The 21,224-nt window shown below is 46.8% G+C and overlaps 1 protein-coding gene and 1 long non-coding RNA gene across 2 annotated transcripts in view, besides 3 other annotated features; one reads left to right on the forward strand and one right to left on the reverse strand.

Annotated features, from left to right (window-relative positions):
- PRR33 (proline rich 33) overlaps window positions 1-21,224 on the reverse strand; it is a 29,722-nt gene that overhangs the window by 5,738 nt on the left and 2,760 nt on the right. The gene's annotated exons all lie outside the window — the stretch shown is intronic.
- Window positions 3,035-14,635, forward strand: LINC01150 (long intergenic non-protein coding RNA 1150). Its single transcript, NR_120534.1, has 4 exons — window positions 3,035-3,421; window positions 8,866-9,000; window positions 9,380-9,532; window positions 14,108-14,635. It is a non-coding gene; the product is annotated as a long intergenic non-protein coding RNA 1150 (long non-coding RNA).
- Window positions 3,096-4,295: an enhancer, noted in NCBI's record as "MED14-independent group 3 enhancer chr11:1918050-1919249 (GRCh37/hg19 assembly coordinates)". NCBI's record gives its function as "activates an origin of replication core promoter dependent on BRD2, BRD4, P300/CBP and CDK7 cofactors, and independent of MED14, by STARR-seq in HCT116 cells {active_cell/tissue: HCT116}" and the evidence as "EXISTENCE:reporter gene assay evidence [ECO:0000049][PMID:35650434]".
- Window positions 12,763-13,264: an enhancer, noted in NCBI's record as "H3K4me1 hESC enhancer chr11:1927717-1928218 (GRCh37/hg19 assembly coordinates)". NCBI's record gives its function as "activates a minimal SCP1, AML or CMV promoter by ChIP-STARR-seq in naive H9 embryonic stem cells {active_cell/tissue: H9 hESC(naive)}" and the evidence as "EXISTENCE:reporter gene assay evidence [ECO:0000049][PMID:30033119]".
- Window positions 13,265-13,764: an enhancer, noted in NCBI's record as "H3K4me1 hESC enhancer chr11:1928219-1928718 (GRCh37/hg19 assembly coordinates)". NCBI's record gives its function as "activates a minimal SCP1, AML or CMV promoter by ChIP-STARR-seq in naive H9 embryonic stem cells {active_cell/tissue: H9 hESC(naive)}" and the evidence as "EXISTENCE:reporter gene assay evidence [ECO:0000049][PMID:30033119]".

A 21,224-nucleotide genomic window follows, 5' to 3' on the forward strand; every position in this document is an offset into this window, starting at 1 on the left:
GCATGGATGGGTAGATGGATGGATGGATGAAGGGATGGATGAGAGTGGATGGACAGGTGGATGGATGGATAGGTGGATGGATGAATGGAGGGATGGATGTGTGGATGGGTAGATGAAAGGATGGATGAAAGGACGGATAGATAGATAGGTGAGTGAGTGAATGGATAGGTGGATGGATGAATGGAGAGATGGATGAGTGGATGGGTAGATGGGTGGGTGGATGGATGGGTGAAGGGATAGATGAATGGATGGACAGAGAGCGGGAAGGATGGATGGAGGAAGGGATGAATGAGTGGATGGGTAGGTGGGTGGGTGGATGGCTGGAGTGTGGGAGTGTGTGTGTGTGTGTGTGTGATAGGGCCTCACTCTGTTTCCCGGGCTGGGAGTGTGTGTGTGTTTGTGTGTATGTGTGTGTGTGACAAGTTCTCTGTTTCCCAGGCTGGAATGTGTGTGTGTGTGTGTCAGAGCCTCACTCTGTTTCCCAGGCTGGGAGTGTGGGAGTGTGTGTGTGTGTGTGTGTGTGTGTGTGTCAGAGCCTCACTCTGTTTCCCAGGCTGGGAGTGCAGTGGCACAATGAGAGCTCCTTGCAGCCTCAACCTCCTGGGCTCAACGGATCCTCCTGCTTCAGCCTCCCAAGTAGCTGGGACCGCAGGTGCCCACCACCACACCTGGCTAAGTTTTTGATTTTTTTTGTAGAGACGAGGTCTTGCTATGTTGCCCAGGCTGGCTTCAAACTCTTGGGCTCAAGCGACCCCCCCTGCCTCCACCTCCCAGAGTGCTGGGATTACAGGCATGAGCCCTGCACCCAAGGGTTTGTGCTTTTTTACAGTGTTACATAAATGGCATCCTGCAGCACGCACGCACTCCTTGTCTGACTTCTGTCACGTAGCATAACTATTCTGAGATCCATGCTTGCTGCTGTGTCTGTTGTAAACACTCATTTTTATTGCCACAGCATGGGTACACCCCAACCCGCTCATCTGTTCGTCTCTTGGTGGACATCAGGGTGGTTTCCAGTTTTGAATGATGGAAAGTAATGTGGCCATTTACATTCACACACAGGTTTTCAGAAGGACATACATTTCCTTTACTCTTGGGGAGAGGCCTAGAAATAAAACGACTAGATGCCGTGGGAGGTGTGTGTGAAACTTGTTCAGAAACGGCCTAGCTCTCATTTCTTGTTGCAGTTGGAATGGTTCATCTCGCTGACTTTGGCCCTTCCTAGACGTGGAGGGTGCGGTCTGTGATTTTGGCTTGCGTGTCTCCCGGCACCAGGGGTGCCGTGCAGCTTTGCACGTGCTACTTCACCACTGATACATCTTGCTGGGGGAAGCATCTGTTCAGATCTTTTGCCCGTTGCTGTAAAATTGGGTTATTTGTTTTCCTATTGTTGAGTTTGAGAGTTCTTTCTTTCTTTTTTTTTTTGAGATGGAGTTTTGCTCTTGTTGCCCAGGCTGGAGTGCAGTGGCGCCATCTTGGCCCACTGCAACCTCCGTCTCCTGGGTTCAAGCGATTCTCCTGCCTCAGCCTCCCAGGTAGCTGGAACTACAGGCATTTGCCACCACGCCGGGCTAATTTTTGTATTTTTAGTAGAGGTGGGGTTTCACCATGTTGTTCAGGCTGGTCTCGAATTCCTGACCTCAAGTGATCCGCCTGCCTTAGCCTCCCAAAGTGCTGGGATTACAGGCGTGAGCCACCGTGAGAGTTCTTTGTATATATTCTGAATCAATCCTTGATGAAATAGATTTGCAAAGATTTTTCTCCTGGTTGGTGGCCTTGTCCTCTCACCGTTAACCATCTGAAGAGCAAATTTTAAACATTTTTGATGAATTTCAGTTTGTCAATTTGTTCTTTTAGGAATTGTGCTTTTGGTATCATGTCTGAGAAATCTTTGCCTTATCCAGAGCCATAAAGATTTTCTCCTGTGTTTTTATGGCTCCAGCTTTACATTTAGACCCACGATCCTTTTTGAGTTAATGTTTGTGTATAGTGTGAGGTACGAATGCAAATTATTCTTCTTTTTCTTTTTGCATATGGAGATCCAGTTGTTCCAGAATATGAAATTGCTGCAGCATGGTTTCTTGAAGAAGCTACAGTTGTGCACCGAGTCGCCTTTGCACCTTTGTCAAAAGTCTGAACTGTGCATGGTGGTGGGTGCCTGCGGTCCCAGCTACTTGGGCGGCTGAGGTGGGAGGATCCCTAGAGCCTGGGAATTTGAGGCTGCAGCGAGCAGAGATTGCACCACTGCACTCCAGCCTGGGCAACAGAGTGAGACCCTGCCTGAAAAAAAGTCATCAGTCTGTGTGTGTAAGCTGATTTCTGGACCGTTTTCTTTTGGATCTACTTGAATATTTTTACACCAGTATCACTCAAGTTTTGCTTACACTGGTCTTATATGAATTCTTAGAATGTTAGCTCTTCAATTGTGTTCTTTTTCCGGATTGTTTTAGCTCTTCTCCTCCTCTGCTTTTCCATATGTGTTTTAGAATGGACCTGTGAATTTCTATAAATGCAGGGAGAGTTGACATCTTAACAGTATTGAACTTACTAATCCACGAACCTTGGATGTCCCTATTTATTCAGGTCTTCTTCCACTTCTTCCAAGGATTTTTTACTCTTTCAATTTGGAGGTCTTTCACATCTTTTGTCAGATTGACCTCTAAGTATTGTCTATTTTTATACAGTTAGGAAGTGGTATTTTTAATGTCAATATCTGATAGTTGATTACCATTTTATAGAAACACAATGGACTTTGTATATCAGTCTTGTTATTCCACAACCTTGTTAATCTCACTGAGTAGTTCTTGCAGGTTTTTCTTTTGTTGTTGATTCCATCGGGTTAGATGGTCACGTTATCTGTAGATAAGATTGTTTTCTTTTTCCTTTCTCGTCTGTATGGCTTTTATTTCTTTTGGGGGCCTAATTGCACGAGCAGGAACCTCCAGGTCAATGTTGGACGGAGGTGATGAGGGCGGACATCCCAGCCTCCTTTCTGTTCTTAGTGAGAAACTGTTCAGTCTTCCGCCATCGGTTGTGGGGTTTTCATAGATATCCTGTATTAGGTTAGGGAAGTTCCCTCTATTCCTAATTTACTGAGTGATGTTTTTTAAACAAATCAGGAACCGACGTTGGATTTTTCAAATGCTTTTTCTGTACTGTTAAAAGAAAAACCTTAGACAAATTAAATTTAACAGAGTTTAATTAAGCAAAGAACCACTCGCTAATGGGGCAGCCCCCAAACCAAAATAGGTTCAGAGAGGCTCTGGTGCTGCCGTGTGGCTGAAGATTGGTGGACAGAAAAGGGAAAGGAGGCACAGAAAACGGAAGCAAAGCACAGAAACCGCCAGAGGGGCTGCAGCTCCATGCTTGCCTTATCTGAACACGGTTGGAATGGCCGGCACCCTTGATGAGCGGAAACCTGGTGAGTGGCACAAGGGAAGGCTTCAGTCTGTTTACGTCTCCAGTGAGGTTTCAGTTCACAGTGGATGGAGAAGGCGGAACATAAACTATGTCAGGAGGCAGCTTTACGCCAAGCTTAATTTAACGATTTCCCCCTTTAGACATTGGTGTCCCTGTCGCCATTGTAAATGTACTTGTTTGGTCCCAAGCCCCACTGGGAAATAGCAGAACAATGGGTTTCGTAAGTGGGAACGAGGACCTCGGGTTATATATTTTTGTAAGGGATAGAGAGGAACCTCCTTGTGCTGGAATTTCATGTGCTCAGAAAAACAAACCCTGGTCTGCCTTAGGACCTATCTGCTTCCGTAAAGCTTCGGTTTGATGGTGTTGCGTTTAGCTTGCGTGACTCCATCTGGGTTTGGTCTGGTCCGTTGGGGCCTCTTGCGGGAGCTCAGTCCAAAACAATGGCCTCTTATAATTTTGTTTAAAAATTCCCTGCCTTTGGTCAGGTTCTCATTTAGTGGAAAGTGTAGCCAAGCCTTAGGGCCTTGGCACCACCCTCAGTCACCGCCACTTCCAGCTTCCGGTCACAGAATGTCATTCGTACCTAGGTTACGACATCCTCATGGCCTTGTGTTTCTTTGAGTTCTTGTTGCTCCAGTCAAAGAGACACCATTTAGCATCCTACAGATGGCTGCATGCAAACATTTAAAACTCCGGAGAGAATGCAGAGCGCCAGGGAGACGAGTATTATGACCATCAGGAAGATCATATTTAATACCAAGAATGTGAAGCATGCTCCTTAGGTGGGGTCCCATGAAGCAAACCAACGAAAATCAAATAGATCAGAGAGTTAGCTGGATAAAGAGTCTACTCATTTCAAACAAGCAGCCTGTTTGTTAATCCCCTACAACCGAACCTTTCTAATACCTGATACATTCCTCCATGTGCCACAAGAAGCATCGGCAACGGCACAGACGCTCCTCTGTTTAGCTAGTAAGGGATCCAGAGCAAGTCTATCATCCCACACACCTTTAGCAAGAGAATTTAAAGACTGTTGTGTAACCATAGCCTTTGGAGTAGAATCTGTTCCAGAGCCAATTACGAGGGATACTTTTTTTTTTTTTTTGAGACCGAGTCTCGCTCCGTCGGCTGGAGTGCAGCGGCGCCAGCCATGTCTCGGCTCACTGCAACCTCCACCTCCTGGGTTCAAGCGATTCTCCTGCCTCAGCCTCACGATTAGTTGAGATTACAGGCGCCCGCCATCATACCCAGCTTATTTTTAATATTTTTAGTAGAGATAGGGTTTTGCCGTGTTGGCCAGGATGGTCTTGATCTCTTGACGTTGTGATCCACCCACCTCGGCCTCCCAAAGTGCTGGGATTACAGGCGTGAGCCACCACGCCCAGCAGAGGGATACATTTTAAATCTTTGCCTCATTTACTCCAAACCATGGAAAAAGAGGCCTCACAAACAGTGCCCATCTAGAAGAGTGAAGCTCCTGCCAGAGTTCTCTTTAAGCTGTGATGTAGAGGAGTGGAGCGATGTTGTTTGTGATTGATTGGGAAGCAACAAAGGCACCCTCAACATTTTTCACCCAGACCGGGCACAGGGGCTCACGCCTGTAATCCCAACACTTTGGGAGGCCGAGGTGGGCACTTGAGGTCAGGAGTTCGAGACCAGCCTGGTCAACATGGTGAAACCCTGTCTCTACTAAAAATACAAAAATTAGCTGGGCTTGGTGGTAGGTGCCTGTAATCCCAGCTACTTGGGAGGCTGAGGCAGGAGAATCGCTTGAACCTGGGAGGCAAAGGTTGCTGTGAGCTGAGATCACACCACTGCATTCCAGCTTGGGCAACAGAGTGAGACTTGGAGTGAGCTAATTTTTTTTTTCACCTACATTGGCCCTTCGTCTTCCAACTGTCAAGGCAAAAGGTTGTCCACATATAGGATTGGCTGCAAAATCCTCCACAAATAAAAGTATACCCCATGAGTGCACATAAGAGATCCCTTTTTAGTTCTATTATTCAGAGGCATGACAGTCTCAAGTTCTTGGGAAAAAGCTGTCCATATCTGGGATGCCAGCTGCTTCTGGGGAGAAACTTCCCTGATTAGCTTTACCTTAAAATCTCCAATGGGGCTGCAGTTGCTGGAGTCTGGCGATGCCCTCTTGAGCGGTGAGATAACGAACCCAGGGTTCAAAGTCCTAGAATTTCACTGCAGTGTGGGTGGCAAGGGCAGTCTTTCTGTGATACTCTCAGAAAACCAAATGTCTGGGTTCTAGATTGTGAAGCGTTTGATAGGGTCCTCAGTGGACCATGAAAAGCTTTCTGTACCTGGTGAAAATATACTTAGGCATAATGCATTAAGGCCTAGGAGCCTTTAGCCATATCGGAGTTGAGGAGTGGAAGATACATGAGGTTCTATATAGGACTTCCAGGGACTATTTCATAAGGCACCAACTTATGTTTTCCACTGGAAATGGACCCGACGGCCATCCACCTGCAACACCCTTGACCAAGGCAGCCCAGTTCATTCATTTCCCTTGCTTAATATTATTGTATCTGTAACAAGTTATTAACAGTTTTACCACTTGAGCAGTGAAACAAGTACATCTATCATGGGAGATTTCTCAAGGGACGTCCCATGAGAAAAACAATTTTCTAATAATCTTTTAGCTACTGCTATAACATCAGTGCTCTTGCCTGGGAAAGCTTCTATATAACCAGAAAACACGCATTGAAAATGACAATTGAAGGAAATCCCTCCAGCAATGTTTCAATGGCCCATCAAGTAGCAGAAGTGTAATGGAAGTTTCGATTGTCCTCCCAGGATTATGGGTTTGGCAGACCAAACATTGGTCGTAAACCATTTTAACAACTTACAACGGTCACCATGTCAAATATATATATGTATATTATATATACATATATATATAAAATTTGGATTAATTTGTCTCTTCCATGATGAATCATGGAGTGCAGAGCATTTAATAGTGGAAGCTTCAAGGACACAGGAAGGACCAGGTGGCCATCTTGGCTGTCCATGTGTCCATGCTTGATGCTGGACTTATATCTTCTTAAATACCAATTTTGTTTCTCCAGTTCAGGTGCATAGCACTGTTTATTAGAAGGGTTATCATAGGTAATTTGACTTGGACGATGGATTTAATTCAAATTGGGTATCTAAACAATATCAGTACTGGCTGATTTAGCATGAAAAGCTGGCAAAGTGTTTTCTTGGTATTCAATTAATTTTTGTCCTGCCCAGGTTAGCAATTTTATAAACCAGTCAATCTTTCCATTAGAGTTCCGGGAATTTTTACCCAGTCCAAATGACATTACACTAAAGTTATCAGAAGCCTATTCAAGAGGGCTTATCAGGGTCCTTTCTCTCCTTTCACGAACCTCCTGGAGGACTCAATATTGTAGGACTGTGTGTGTTTGTGAGTTTTCAGAAACGTCAGAAAAAAGCAATTAACTCTGGAAATGACGTAAAATGGTCATGGTTAAAGAAGAACTGACAAGGAATTTTGATTACTTCTGTGGCCTACAATAACTTAACTGTAATTAAGAGTGACAGCATATACCCGGATGTATCAGAATTTTAGGAACCCCATACAATTTTGGAGCATATATTAATGACGTATTCACAAACAATATCTCAAATAAGGTTAAACATCATTTCTTATTTGGCAGTGCTTCCCATGTAATTTAATTTATCAAATACTTCTGTCTCTCTCTTTTTTGGATACTATAGGGGCCCTTAGTAGCTCTCTCCACTGGGAAAGGCTGTTATCGTCTTTGTTTTAAACTATAAACTAAGTTTCTCCCAAAGTTAGTTCAGCCTACTCCCAGGAATAAGCAAGGACAGGAATAAGCAAGGAGGTTAGAAGCAAGATGGAAGGGCCAGGCACGGTGGCTTACGCCTGTAACCCCATCACTTTGGGAGGCCGAGGTGAGCAGATCACAAGGTCAGGAGTTCCAGACCAGCCTGGCCAATATGGTGAAACCTCATCTCTACTAAAAAAAATACAAAATTAGTCGGGCGTTGTGGCAGATGCCTGTAATCCCAGTTACTTGGGAGGCTGAGGCAGGAGAATCGCTTGAACCCAGGAGGCAGAGGTTGTGGTGAGCCAAGTTTACGCCATTGCACTCCAGCCTGGGCGACAAGAGCAAAACACCACCTCTAAAAAAAAAAAAAGGCAAGATGGAGTCAATTAAGTTAGATGTCTCTCACCGTCTCAGTCAAAGAGACAATGCAAAGGTGGTTTCAGCTTTTTCCTAAATATTATCAGATACATGTCATACAGAGAGACATATAGTCATAACAGACACAGATAGAAACAGATCTTACAGATTTCAGAAAGAATTTTCATTTGCCAGCTTTCAAATAGTTTTCTTTTCCCCCTTTAGACTATCAATCTTCTAATTACTTGTTTTATCATCCTAAGCAATCGTTAGCTAGGGAACAATTTGCCTTCAAAAAAGATAACTCTTAGGTGAAACAAGGCAGAAAATGTATATATGAAAAGCTATTTAAGCTGAGACTTTCAGCTTAAATACTGTACCATCATCATTTGCTCAACCAAGAAAAAAGCAAGGCCCAGTGAAGACAACATGGCCAGGAAAAACACGTTAAACAAAGGTAAGACTTGTTACGTAAATTTAAAACAAAGGGATGTCCCTCCCAGACGTTGCAAATGGAAATGTCTTGTGGAGATGTAAATTTCTTTCACAAAATGGTTTCAAGGTAGCCGTTGAATGTCAGAAAGGTGCATTTTAGTTATTAGGCTGGTTGAAAAGTAATTGCAAAAACCACAATTATGGCCGGGCGCGGTGGCTCACGCCTGTAATCCCAGCACTTTGGGAGGCCGAGGCGGGTGGATCATGAGGTCAGGAGATCGAGACCATCCTGGCTAACATGGTGAGATCCCGTCTCTACTAAAAATACAAAAAGTTAGCCGGGCGTGGTGGCGGGCGCCTGTAGTCCCAGCTACTCGGGAGGCTGAGGCAGGAGAATGGTCTGAACCCGGGAGGCGGAGCTTGCAGTGAGCAGAGATCGCGCCACTGCACTCCAGCCTGGGCGACAGAGTGAGACTCTATCTCAAAAAAAAAAAAAAAACACACAATTACTTTCACACCAACCTGTGGATAGGTGGTCCTTCTAATGTGGCTACTGCTTCTTAGCTGAAATTACTGAGTACAGGGTGGGACCCATTAAGGAATAAGGCAAAGAAAGGCTTCCCTCGGCCTGGGCTCAGCGTGGGTGGATCTGAAGTAAAGCCTGCTGGATCTGAGAGACCTTTTAGACACACTTCATCTAGGATAGCTTTCTGTATGGGATAGTAACCAGGCCAAAAGCTCAGCAGATTCATTTTTTCTTATCAATTGGTCACTTAAGCTTTTTCTTTGTCTTAATTAATTTATATTTATGATCTTATTTTGTCTTTATCTTATTTGACAGGGTGTTGCTCTGTCACCCAGGCTGGAGTGCAGTGGTGCCATCATAGCTCACTGCAATTGTTACAGGAGAGGGGTCCTGATCCAGACCCCAAGAGAGGGTTCTTGGATTTGGATCCTGTGCAAGAAAGAATTCAGGGTGAGTCCACGGCGCAAAGCAAAAACAAGTTTACTAAGAAAGTAAAGGAATAAAGAATGGCTACTCCATAGACCGAGCAGCCCCGAGAGCTGCTGGTTGCCCATTTTTTGGTTATTTCTTGATGAGATGCTAAACCAGGGGTGGATTACTCATGCCCCCCACCCCTGCTTTTTAGGCCATACAGGGTAACTTCCTGACGTTGCCACGGCATCTGTAAACTGTCATGGTGCTGGTGGGAGTGTAGCAGTGAGGACGACCAGAGGTCACTCTCGTCACCATCTTGGTTTTGGTGCATTTTAGCCGGCTTCTTTACTGCAACCTGTTTTATCAGCAAGGTTTTTATGACCTGTATCTTGTGCCGACCTCCTGTCTCATCCAGTGACTTAGAATGCCTGACCATGTGGGAATGCAGCCCAGTAGGACTCAGTCTCATTTTACCCAGCCCCTGTTCAAGATGGAGTCGCTCTGGTTCACACGCCTCAGACACAGCCTCTGCCTCCCGCCTCAGCCTCCTAAGCAGCTGGGACTACAGGTGAGTGCTACCGTGCCTGGCTAATTTTTTTTTTTCCGTAGAGATAGTGGGGAGCTGTGGAGCGGGGGGTGGGGGGCGGGTGTCTCACTGTATCGCCCAGGCTGGTCTCAAACTCCAGGGCTTAAGCAATCTTCCCACCTTGGCCTCTCAAAGTGCTGGAATTACAGGCATGGGCCACCTTGCCAGGCCTCATTTGCCTTTTGTGCAGACACTTTTAAAAGAGGGAGTAAAAATACTGAAATCATTTTAGAAGCTTCTTCACATCAATTGGCATCCCTGATGAGGCTAATTAGGAGCCCTTGTTTTTAGGTGCACTTCTTAAAGTGCAGTGGTGTTCACTTGGAACATCCCACCGTAATTTTCATTCACCTTTAGTAAGATGCCACCATTTCTGTAAACATCTGCCGCGTCCGGGACCTAACACGTACGGACATACGAGCCAGAAGGTGCTCGGTTTTTCAGAGATGAAGGATCCCATTTTACATTAAATCTTGGCTTTGGCTCTTAGATCCTCGTGATCAACTGAGCAATGATTTTTCCCTGCCTTAGTGTGCAAGAAAAAGAAACCAAGAGAGTAGAACACGAACATCCTTGTGAATGTCCAAAAGCTGGAGTGTGCACCTCCTGCAGCCCTGCCATTTACAGCCAGTTTCCGCCTGACCCAGTCAAGACACACAAGGCCTCTAACTGCATCCAAGCCAGTGAATGATCAAATCAGATTCCATCCTGGACCCAGTCCAGTTTCTGTCACGACTTCTGAACCCAGCTTAGATAAAAAAATTTGCTCAAGCAAACTCAGATGGCTCAAAACACACATCCATGGAGCTTTGGAATCCAAGAGAGAACTTCCCACGATCCCCAGCTGCTCTGAGAGAGCAGAGGGCACAGTGGGCCCTGTGGGTCCTCCATTGGTCAGTCAGAGCTCCTGGGGGCCGCTGGAAGCTCTACGCCAGATCCACTTCTGATGCCATCCGTTTAAAGAGAAAACTTGGCCGGGCGCAGTGGCTCACGCCTGTAATCCCAGCACTTTGGGAGGCCGAGGCGGGTGGATTGCCTGAGCTCAGGAGTTCAAAACCAGCCTGGGCAACACGGTGAAACCCCGTCTCTACTAAAATACAAAAAATTAGCCAGGCATGGTGGTGCATGCCTGTAATCCCAGCTACTCCAGAGACTGAAGCAGGAGAATTGCTTGAACCTGGTAGGCGGAGGTTGCAGTGAGCAGAGGTGGCACCACTGCACTCCAGCCTGGGCGACAGAGCAAGACTCTATCTCAAAAAAGAAAAAAAAAAGAAGAAATTTAAGGCCAGGTGCAATGGCTTACATCTGTACACCTGTAATTTCAGCACTTTGGGAGGCTGAGGCAGGTGGATCACTTGAGGCCAGGAATTCGAGACCAGCGTGCCACCACACCCAGCTAATTTTTGCATTTTTAGTACAGATGGGGGTCTCACTATGTTGGGCAGGCTAGTCTCGAACTCCTGACCTCAGGTGATCCACCCACCTCAGCCTCCCAAAGTGCTGGGATTACAGGCGAGAGCCACTGCGCCCAGCCTCTTTATTCTTTTAATCTCTGCAGAACCTGTACTCCCGCTGCCTCTCTTGTTCCTGATATCGGTAATTTCTATCCTTCTCCTCCTTTCCCCGGGCCCTTCCCCATCAAGTTGGCTAAAGGTTTATCAGGATTACTGATATTCTTAAAGAACCAAGTTTTGGTTTTCTCAATTTTGTTCTATTATTTATTGTTTTCTGTTTTATCAGCTTCTACTTGATGTTTACTATTTCCTTTCTTCTGCCCACTTTGGGTTTAATTTGCTTTTCTTTTTCTATTTTCCTTAAGCTGAGAGCAAGGTCATTGCTTGAGAATTCTTTTTTTTTTTTTTTTTTTTTGGAGACCGAGTCTTGCTCTGTCACCCAGGCTGGAGTGCAGTGGCGCGATCTCAGCTCACTGCAACGTCTGTCTCCCAGGTTCAAGTAATTCTCCCTGACTCAGCCTCCCGAGTAGCTGGGATTACAGGCACACGCCACCACACCTAGCTAATTTTTAAATTTTAATAGAAACAGGTTTTCGCCATGTTGGCCAGGCTACTCTCGAACTCCTGACCTCAGGTGATCCGTCTGCCTCAGGCTCCCAAAGTGCTGGGATTACAGGCGTGAGCCACCGCGCCCGGCCTTCTCTCTTTTTTTTTTTTTTTTTTTTTCTGAGACAGAGTGTCGCTCTGTCGCCCAGGCTGGAGTACAGTGGCGTGATCTCAGCTCACTGCAACCTCCGCCTTCTGGGTTCAAACGATCCTCGTGCCTCAGCCTCTCTAGTAGCTGGGATTATAGGCGTGTGCCACCACGCCTGGCTAATTTTTGTATTTTTGGTAGAGACGGGGTTTCTACCAAACCCTGGTAGAAATGTTGCCCAGGGTGTTCTTGACCTCGTGGGCTCAAGCAATCCTACCACCTTGGGCTCCCAAGGTGCTGGGATTACAGGTGTGAGCCACCACACCTGGCCAGTTAAACCATATTTCTTACAGGCAGCACAGAGTTGGGCTTTGCTTTTTTATCAATCAGACAACCTCTGCTTTCTTTTTGTGGGGGGGACAGGGTCTCACTGGCATCCAGGCTCGAGTGTATTGGTGCAATCACAGCTCATGGCAGCCTTGACCTCCAGGGCTCAAGGGATCCACCTGCCTCAGCCTCCCGAGTAGCTGTGACTACTGGCACATGCCACCACGCCCAGCTAAAGTATTTTTTTTTTTTTTTTTGGAGAGATGAGTTCTCCCTCTGTTGCCCAGGCTGGTCTTGAACTCCTGGACTCAAGGGATCCTCCTCTACCAGCCTCTAAAAGTGCTGGGATTACAGGAGTGAGCCACCATGCATGGCCCCTCTGCTTCTTAATAGGGGAGTTTAGCCCATTGATATTTAATGTGCTTACTGGTATGGTTAGGTTAGAGTCTGTCACCTTGTTATTTGCTTTCTATTTGTCACATCTGTTCTTTTCTCCCCTTTACTCTTTTTCTGCCTCCTTTTGCGTTCATGAGAAGTTTTATTCGTTACATCATCTTGTTTGCTGGCTTTTTCGCTGTAACTCTTTGTTTTGTTATTTTAGGGGTTGACTTGGGTTTTTAGTTGTTAGCTTTAACGTCCCACAGTTGGCTCTGAGTGACTGATATTTCCTCTTTTTTATGGGTCACCCTTTCCTGCTTCTTTGTCTTTTTGATAATTTTTTATTGGAATGCAGACATTGTAAACTTTAACTCGGGTGGGAGCTAGATACTTTTATATTTCCACAAATATTCCTGAGCTTTGTTCTGGAATGTAGCTGTTTATCTGCAAGCAGTTTGATCCTTTCAAGTATTACTTTTACCGTTTGTAAGGGAGGTCTGGAATAGTGTGGGCTAACTATTCCCCACTATGGAGGCAAGCTGTTTCTGAGCCCCCCACCGCTGTGCGTGATAGGGTTTTCTGCTGAGGCTGGTGGGAGCAGACACAATTCCTAGGTCCATGTGAGCTCCCGGCACTGGTCTCTCTAGTCCTTTCGGATTGTGCTTTCCCGCCTTGGGACGTTTTCCCTGGGATGTGCTGATGGCTCAGTCCCTAATACTCCAGGGGGACTCTCGGGTCTCAGCTTCTCTCTCTGGGCAGCTCTCTGAGCTTCACGAACTTCAGCTGCCTGGAGACCCCCAGCTCTGTCTCATCAGCTCAGGGACTCTGTGGGCTCCACCTCAACTCCCGCTTCCCGCACTGAGGCCTGGAAACCCACCAGAAAGTGCATGGGCAGCGAGAGGCCCCTGAGGCCAATTCCCAGCCCGGGAAGCACTGTTGTGCACGGCCCACGTGTGGGATCTTGAGAGCCATTGTGTTGTGTATTTTGTCTGTTCTGTGTTGCTGTTTGGTTGTTTCATTGTCCTGTGTATTTTGTCTGTTCTGTGTTGCTGTTTGGTTGTTTCAGGCAGGAAGATAAATCCAGTCCCTGCTACCCCATCTCAGCCAGGAGTGGAAATCTGCCTTTTAATTTTGGTGGACATGTTTGGATAGACAGAAACTTGAAATGGTGAAGTGGTGAAATGGGCTGAGCTGCCCTTTTCTTCCATCATGTTTCCACTGTTCTAAAGCTGGAAACATTGTTCCCCAGCATGAAAGCAGATAAGTGTGCAGCACACATCTCTCTAGCTTATTTATCTATTCGAGATGGAGTCTCGCTCTGTTGTCCAGGCTGGAGTGCAGTGGCGCAATCTTGGCTCACTGCAACCTCGGCCTCCAGGGTTCAAGTGATTCTCCTGCCTAAGCCTCCCCAGTAGTTGGGATTACAGACTCCCGCCACCATGCCCGGCTTATTTTTTTATATTTTTAGTAGAGACAGGGTTTTGCCATGTTGGCCAGGCACGTCTCGAACTCCTAACCTCAGGTGATCCAACCGCCCCGGCCTCCCAAAGTGCTGGGATAACAAGCGTGAGCCACCGCGCCCGGCCTCTAGCTTTATTTTTAACCATTTTTTTTTTCACATGTCGTAGCCTCTGTAATTCACCTGGAATGTATTTTGGCATTTGATGTGGAGAGCAAATCTCACTGCCTTTTTTTCCTCCCCAGTGCATACCTGATTTTCTCGACCTCTTTTATGAAATATCCCCGCCAGACTCCCTCGACCGTGCCACCCCCAGGTTCCCGTGCATACACAACATTGCGGGATAGGTATTGTGGAATGAGGATCCGTGTTACGACCTACAGAAGATGTGGCTGTGAAGTCAGGAGTCACGGTCTCAGAGTTGACTGCACTGCCTCGTAGCTGTGTGACCTTCAGGATTTTGTTCAACCCCCTCTGAGCTTCAGTTTGCTCTCTGGGAAGACTCCAAGGATAAGAGCATCTACCTCCTCAGCCTGCTGTGAGAGTTAACAGGGCCAGGGCCAAAGACGCTTTGTCTGACTGCTGGTCTGCGGGGAGCTCTAAATATGAATCTGCTACATCACCTTCACTTTTGAATTCGGCTCTGATGTTCCAAATGTTCTTGGCCGTTCCTTCGTGTTTCTCCTGTACGAATTTCAGCTTCTTTTTGCCAAGTATCTCCCCACCCCCGCCCACCCCCACCCCCAAATAAACTCACTAGAATGTTGGCTGAAAATCTGATAAGGCTACACATTGATTTGGAAAGAAATGATTTTTTGTGAGAGTCAAACTCCCTACCCATTTTTTTTCTTTTGTTTTTTCAAAAGTTTTTTTCTTACATTTGTCATTCAAGTTTGTCATTTTCTTGCTACAGATTCCAAACACTTTTCAAGAGGACCGTCGCTAAGTACTTTATACTCTTGTTTGGGTTTTTTTAGAGTAAAAAATGTTCAAATTCTACTTTATCTTCTAGCTGGTGGTTGTTGGAAGATAATTTTAAAAACTGATTTAAAATATGTATTTTGCATCTGGCCGCGTTCCTGAATTCTCTCATTCTTTCTGAAAACTCTTCCGCCGACTCTCTGGGGGCTCCTAGGAATGTGCTGTTTTGGCTCCTCCTTTCCAGAACTTATACGTCTCATTTCCGCCTCACATCATTGGCATTGTCCTTCATTTCCAGACCAGGGTCGAACAGTAATGGTAAAAGCAGGCATCCTTCTTTGGTTCCTGTCTTGGGCTGGAACGCCTTAGTGTTCCCCCAGCAAGGGGAGATAAAGGAAGTGCTTATTTATAGTTTTCTATAGTTTCTTGAGCCTTCGTGTTGTTTTGCTTTCAGAAACAAGAATTGACTTTTAGCAAATGCCCTTCCCCCTATAGTTAACAATTAGGAACTATTCAAACTATGCCAGTAGGCATAAATAAAGTTAGGAAGAGCCCCCATCTACCCAGCCCCCACTTAGCTTAAGAAAGACAACATGGCTGGGCATGGTAGCTCACGCCTGTAATCCCAGCACTTTGGGAGGCTCGAGTCCAGGAGTTTGAGACTAGCCTGGGCAACACAGTGAGTCTCTACAAAAAATACAAAAGTTGGGCCTGGGTACGGCGGCTCACACCTGTAATCCCAGCACTTTGCGAGGCTCGAGTCCAGGAGTTTGAGACTAGCCTGGGCAACACAGTGAGTCTCTACAAAAAATACAGAAGTTGGGGCCGGGCGCGGTGGCTCATGCCTGTAATCCCAGCACTTTGGGAGGCTGAGGTGGGCGGATCACGAGGTCAGGAGATCGAGACCATCCTAGCCAACACGGTGAAACCCCATCTCTACTAAAAATACAAAAATTAGCCGGGCGTGGTGGCACGCGCCTGTAATCCCAGCTACTCGGGAGACTGAGGCAGGAGAATTGCTTGAACCCAGGAGTCGGAGGTTGCAGTGAGCCAAGATCATCACTGCACTCCAGCTCGGCGACAGAACAAGACTCCGTCTCAAAAACAAAAACAAAAACAAAAGTTAGCCAGGCATGGCAGTGGGCACCTGTAGTTCCAGCTACTCAGGAGGCTGAGATGGGAGGATCACCTGAGCCTGGGAGGTTGAGGCTGCAGTCAGCCGTGGTGGTGTCATTGCACTCCAGCCTGGGCAACACAGTGAGACCCTATCTGAGAAAAAAAGAAGAAGAAGAAGAAGAAGAAATACAACGTGATGGCTTCATCTGAGTTGAGGGCTCTGTGCAGCTCCTTTGTGGTGGAATCCTCTGCTCTGCTGGCAGGGACGTTTCATCATAAGTGTGTGTTCTGTATATCCAGGTGCAAGTGATATTTTAAAATATAAAACTATTGTTTAAATTTCATGTAAGTAGCATGATTTTTCCTTTTGCAACTCTTTCACCCCCACCCCAATGTGGTTGCTGTGTCCGGGACTTCGCCATTGGTGGCTCACAGCCGCAGGTCAGCTGTAATCGTGCAGAACCCATCTATGAATACACGACGGTGTACCTGTCCATTCTCCTCTTGGTGAATGTGTGGAGGTTTTCTGATTCTTTGCAGTGACCAACAGCAATCTGTGCCCAGCAATGCAAATGCCGGACTGAGGGATGCACCCTGCACGCTGGCCAAGATGTCACTGGGCGCCATTGTGGTGTTTTTTTTTTGAGACGGAGTCTCGCTCTGTTGCCCAGACTGGAGTGCAGTGGCATGATCTCGGCTCACTGCAAGTTCTGCCTCCCGGGTTCAAGGGATTCTCCTGCCTCAGCCTCCTGAGTAGCTGGGATTACAGGCACCCGCCACCACGTCCAGCTAAGTTTTGTATTTTTAGTAGAGACAGGGTTTCACCATGTTGGCCAGGCTGGTCTCGAACTCCTGACCAAGTGATCCAGCCACCTCGGCCTTCCAAAGTGTTGGGATTACAGGCGTGAGCCACCGTGCCTGGCTGGGGTTCTCTATTTTCAAGACACCCTTTTAACTTTATAAGTAATCAATCAGGTGGTTCTTCGAAACTGAACATTCTGACCCCCGTTAACTTTCACCTGCGACTTGGGCGTCCAGTGACAATCCTTGTCTCAATCAACGATCCCATCAATGGTTGCAAAATGGTGCATTCTTAACGCTATCATTTCACCTCCGCTGAGCTGGTGTTCTGCAGAAATGAACTTTTCCTTCTCCAGACTGATGTTTATATTTTGTTCATCCACTTTGCAGTTTTAATTTGGTTTCCCCTTTCATGGGTGTGCTGACCATTCAGGTTCTCTTCTCTGCCAGCTGCCTGTCACCTCCTCTCGCCCATTTTTCTATTCAGTTGCTTGCCTTTTTTCTAATGGTGTCCTACCTTCTTTTTAGATAGTGAAAACTAATTCTTGATCAGTGATATGTGTTACAAACATCTCCTCCCAAAAGATGGCTTGTTTTTTTTGGCTTGGTTTATGGTGTCTTTTGATGAAGAGAAGTTCACTTATTAAAAACTGTAGTTATTTCTTGTTGAATTTACCAATCTCTTTATTCTCTGGTTTGTGGTTTTTACATCTTGTTGAACAAATGTTCCTTGCTACTAGCCGGGCGCAGTGGCTCACGTCTGTAATCCCAGCACTTTGTGGGGCTGAGGAGGGTGGATCACCTGAGGTCAGTTCAAGACCAACCTGGCTAATGTGGTGAAACCCTGTCTCTACCAAAAATACACAGATTAGCTGGGTGTGGTGGTGGGCGCCTGTAATCCCAGCTACTAGGGAGGCCAAGGCAGGAGAATTGCTTGAACCTGGGGGACAGAGGTTGCAGTGAGCCGAGATTGTGCCACTGCACCCCAGCCTGGGTGACAGAGTGAGACTCTGTATCAAATTAAAATAAAATAAAATATAAATTAATAAGTGGCACGATCTCAGCTCACTGTAGCCTCTGCCTCCCGGGTTCAATCGATTCTCCTACTTCAGCTTCCTGAGTAGCTGGGATCACAGGCACCCACCACCACGCCTGGCTAATTTTTTTTGTATTTTTGGTAGAGATGGGGTTTCACCCTGTTGGCCAGGCTGGTCTCAAACTCCTGACCTCAAGTGATTCGCCTGCCTCGGCCTCTCAAAGTGCTGGGATTACAGGCGTGAGTCACTGCGCCCGGACCTCCCTTCTGTTCTTAGTTGACCAGAATGTCTATCTATGAGTGGTGTTATATTTTATCCAAAATTTTTTGTAGTCTTTACATGCTTTATGTGTTGTGAATCACTACATCATTCAGTTTTCTGATGTACAACTATTATTACATTAAAAAGAACCCCCGAGGCCGGGAATGGTGGGTCTCACCTGTAATCCCAGCACTTTGGGAGGCCGAGCTGGGAGGATCACTTGAGGCCTGGAGTTTGAGACCAGCCTGAGCAAGATAGTGAGTGAGACCCCATCTCTAAAAAAAAAAAAAAAAAAAAAAAAAAGCCAAGTGTGGTGGTACATAGCTGTGGTCCCAGCTATGTGAGAGGGTGAGGTGGGGGAGATCGCTTGAGCCCAGGAGTTTGAGGCTGCAGTGAGCCAGGATCTCACCATTGCACTCTGGCCTGGGTGACAGAGCAAGACCTCATCTCTTTAAAAAGGTAAAATTAAAAAAATAATAATAAAGGACCCCCTTGGTCATAATGTAATTGAAAAAAATTCTTGCTGTTTTTTGCTTGGTAGGAGGTTTAACTACTGGTTCCTTGTCTTTTTTTTTGTCTTTGCACCCCTGATTCGGAATGCAAGGTTCAATGTCTTTAAAATGAATTAGTCTATGCAAGGTTTGAACTTCACTTTGAGTCAATTCCATGTTCTATTTCTCCTGGGAATGGGCTGTTTTGCTCAGTTTTTAAATTGTCATAAAGTTGTTTATGGGATTCTTTCACCACAATGTCATCTCTGCAGCCTTCGTCATTACGTTCCTCTTTTCGTCGACATTGCTTATTTGTGTCTCTTCCTCTTTCTACTAATTTTTTTGCCAGATGTTAGACTATTTATTAGTTTTTTCACATAAACCATTTCTAAATTATTTATTTATTTTTAAGCCAGAGTCTCACTCTGTCGCCCAGGCTGGAGCGCAGTGGCGAGATCACGGCTCACCGCAACCTCCGCTTCCTGGGCTCAAGTGATGCTGTCACCTCAGCTTCCCAAGGAGCTGGGATTACAGGCACCTGCCACCACGCCTGGCTAATTTATTTTCATTTTTTGTAGAGATAGGTTTTTGCCATGTTGCCCAGACTGATCTGGAACTCCTAGGCTCAAGTGATCTGCCCTCCTCGGCCTTCCCAAAGTGCTGGGATTACAGGTGTGAGCCACTGCGCCCGGCCAACACAGCAGCAATATTTAATTTTGTTGATCTTCATTAATTTTTATTTTTCATTCTATTAACCTCCTATGTTTCTTATTATTTCCATTGCTTTCTTTCCCTTGGTTTTAGTGTTTTGTTCATTTCCTAATTTCATAAACTAGATGCATACTTATTAATACTTTCCCCTCTCTATTTTTTTGTTCTGGGGTAATCCATACTTTGTTTTCTTTGTTTTTTGGTTTTCCTCCTTTCTTTTTTTTGAGATGGAGTCTCGCTCTGTCGCCCAGGCTGGAGTGCAGTGGCACAATTTCGGCTCACAAACCTGCCTCCCAGCTTCGCGCCATTCTCCTGCCTCAGCTTCCCGAGTAGCTGGGACTACAGGCACCCACCACCACGCCCAGCTAACTTTTTTGTTTTTTTTTTTTTGTTTTTTTTTTAGTAGAGACGGGGTTTCACCGTGTGTTAGCCAGGCTGGTCTCGAACTCCTGACCTCGTGATCCGCCCGCCTCAGCCTCCCAAAGTCCTGGGATTACAGGCGTGAGCCACCGCGCCCGGCCCCCGCTTTCTGATATAAGCATCCAGGCCTCGCATTTCCCTCTGTCTTGTTTTAGCTGCACCCAGGGCTTTGCTCTGGGGTCTCCCATTCTCCTTCAGTTCCAGCCTCACCCACTCTCCCTGACCACGTCCCCTCTGATCCCTGAGCTATTCAGGTGTGTTTTTACTTTCTAACCCTTGCTGAAAGGGCCGCCTTCTAGTTAGTTGGGTTCTGACTTGGCCGCAGAGGGCAGACAGTTGGCTGGGGCATTCTCGTGTCCATGGCCAGCTTTGGTCACTGTCTCTCACGTGTCCTCTGGTTTGGAGGCTCTGCTTCAGTCCCTGTCTGTTCCACTAAGCCAAGTCGTTTCGTTCCAGTCCTAGACGCCTCACCCCGCGCTCTGCGGTGAGCACGAGCTGTGCACTGGGATCGCGGACTCCTTTTCCCTCGTCATGCTGCCACGGGCTCCCACTGCACTCCCAGTCCCAATTGCAGGATGCGTGGGGGACGGAGCCCCTGTCCATGGGTGGTGACCACCTCTGTGCCCAGCATAGCTGCTTGCCTCCTGTCCATTTGGTGCTCCTGGGGGGCCTTTCAGAACCAGGCAGCACAGCAAGATTGGTGACATCCAACCAACAGATTTCACCCGGGCGTACCCCGGTTCCCACCTGTGCATTACCCAATGAACACGCCTGGTTGGGCGCAGCGTAGCTGAGACTCCCATGTGCAGGCCTGCTGTGGGGGTGCAGGCCCACGGTGCACATTGGTGTGTGTTGTGGGGTCACACACCTGGGATGATGTTTCTGTGTGTGTGTGTGTGTTGTAGGGTCACACATCTGGGATGATGTTCTGTATGTGTGTGTGTGTTGTGTGTGGGGTCATGCACCTGGGATGTCTCTCTGTGTGTCTGTATGTGTTGTAGGGTCACGCATCTGGGATGATGTTGCTCCTTATGTGTGTGTGTGTTGTGTGTGGGGTCACACACCTGGGATGATGTTTCTCTGTGTGTGTGTCTGTGTGTGTGTTGTTGGGTCACACACCTAAGATGTTTTTCTTTGTGTGTGTGTGTGTGTGTTGTGTAGTCACACACCAGGGATGATGTTGCTCTGTGTATGTGCCTATGTGTGTTGTAGGGTATATACACCTGGGGATGTTGCTCTGTGTGTGTGTGTGTGTGTGTGTGTGTTCTGGGGTCACACACCTGGGGATGATGCTCTGTGTGTGTTGTGGGGTGTACAAACCTGGGGAGGATGTTGCTCTGTGTGTGTTCTGGGGTCACACACCTGGGGATGATGTTGCTCTGTGTGTGTGTTGTGGGGTCACACACCTGGGATGTTTCTGTGTCTTTGTGTGTGTGGGTTGTGGGGTGTACACACCTGGGGAGATGTTGCTCTGTGTGTGTTGTGGGTGTACAAACCTGGAGATGTTTCTGTGTGTGTGTGTGTGTGTGTGTGTGTTGTGAGGTCACACACCTGGGATGATGTTGCTCTGTGTGTGTCTGTGTGTGTGTTGTGAGGTCACACAC

Source organism: Homo sapiens, chromosome 11, assembly GCF_000001405.40.
Source record: "Homo sapiens chromosome 11, GRCh38.p14 Primary Assembly".
NCBI classification, from domain to species: Eukaryota; Metazoa; Chordata; class Mammalia; order Primates; family Hominidae; genus Homo; species Homo sapiens.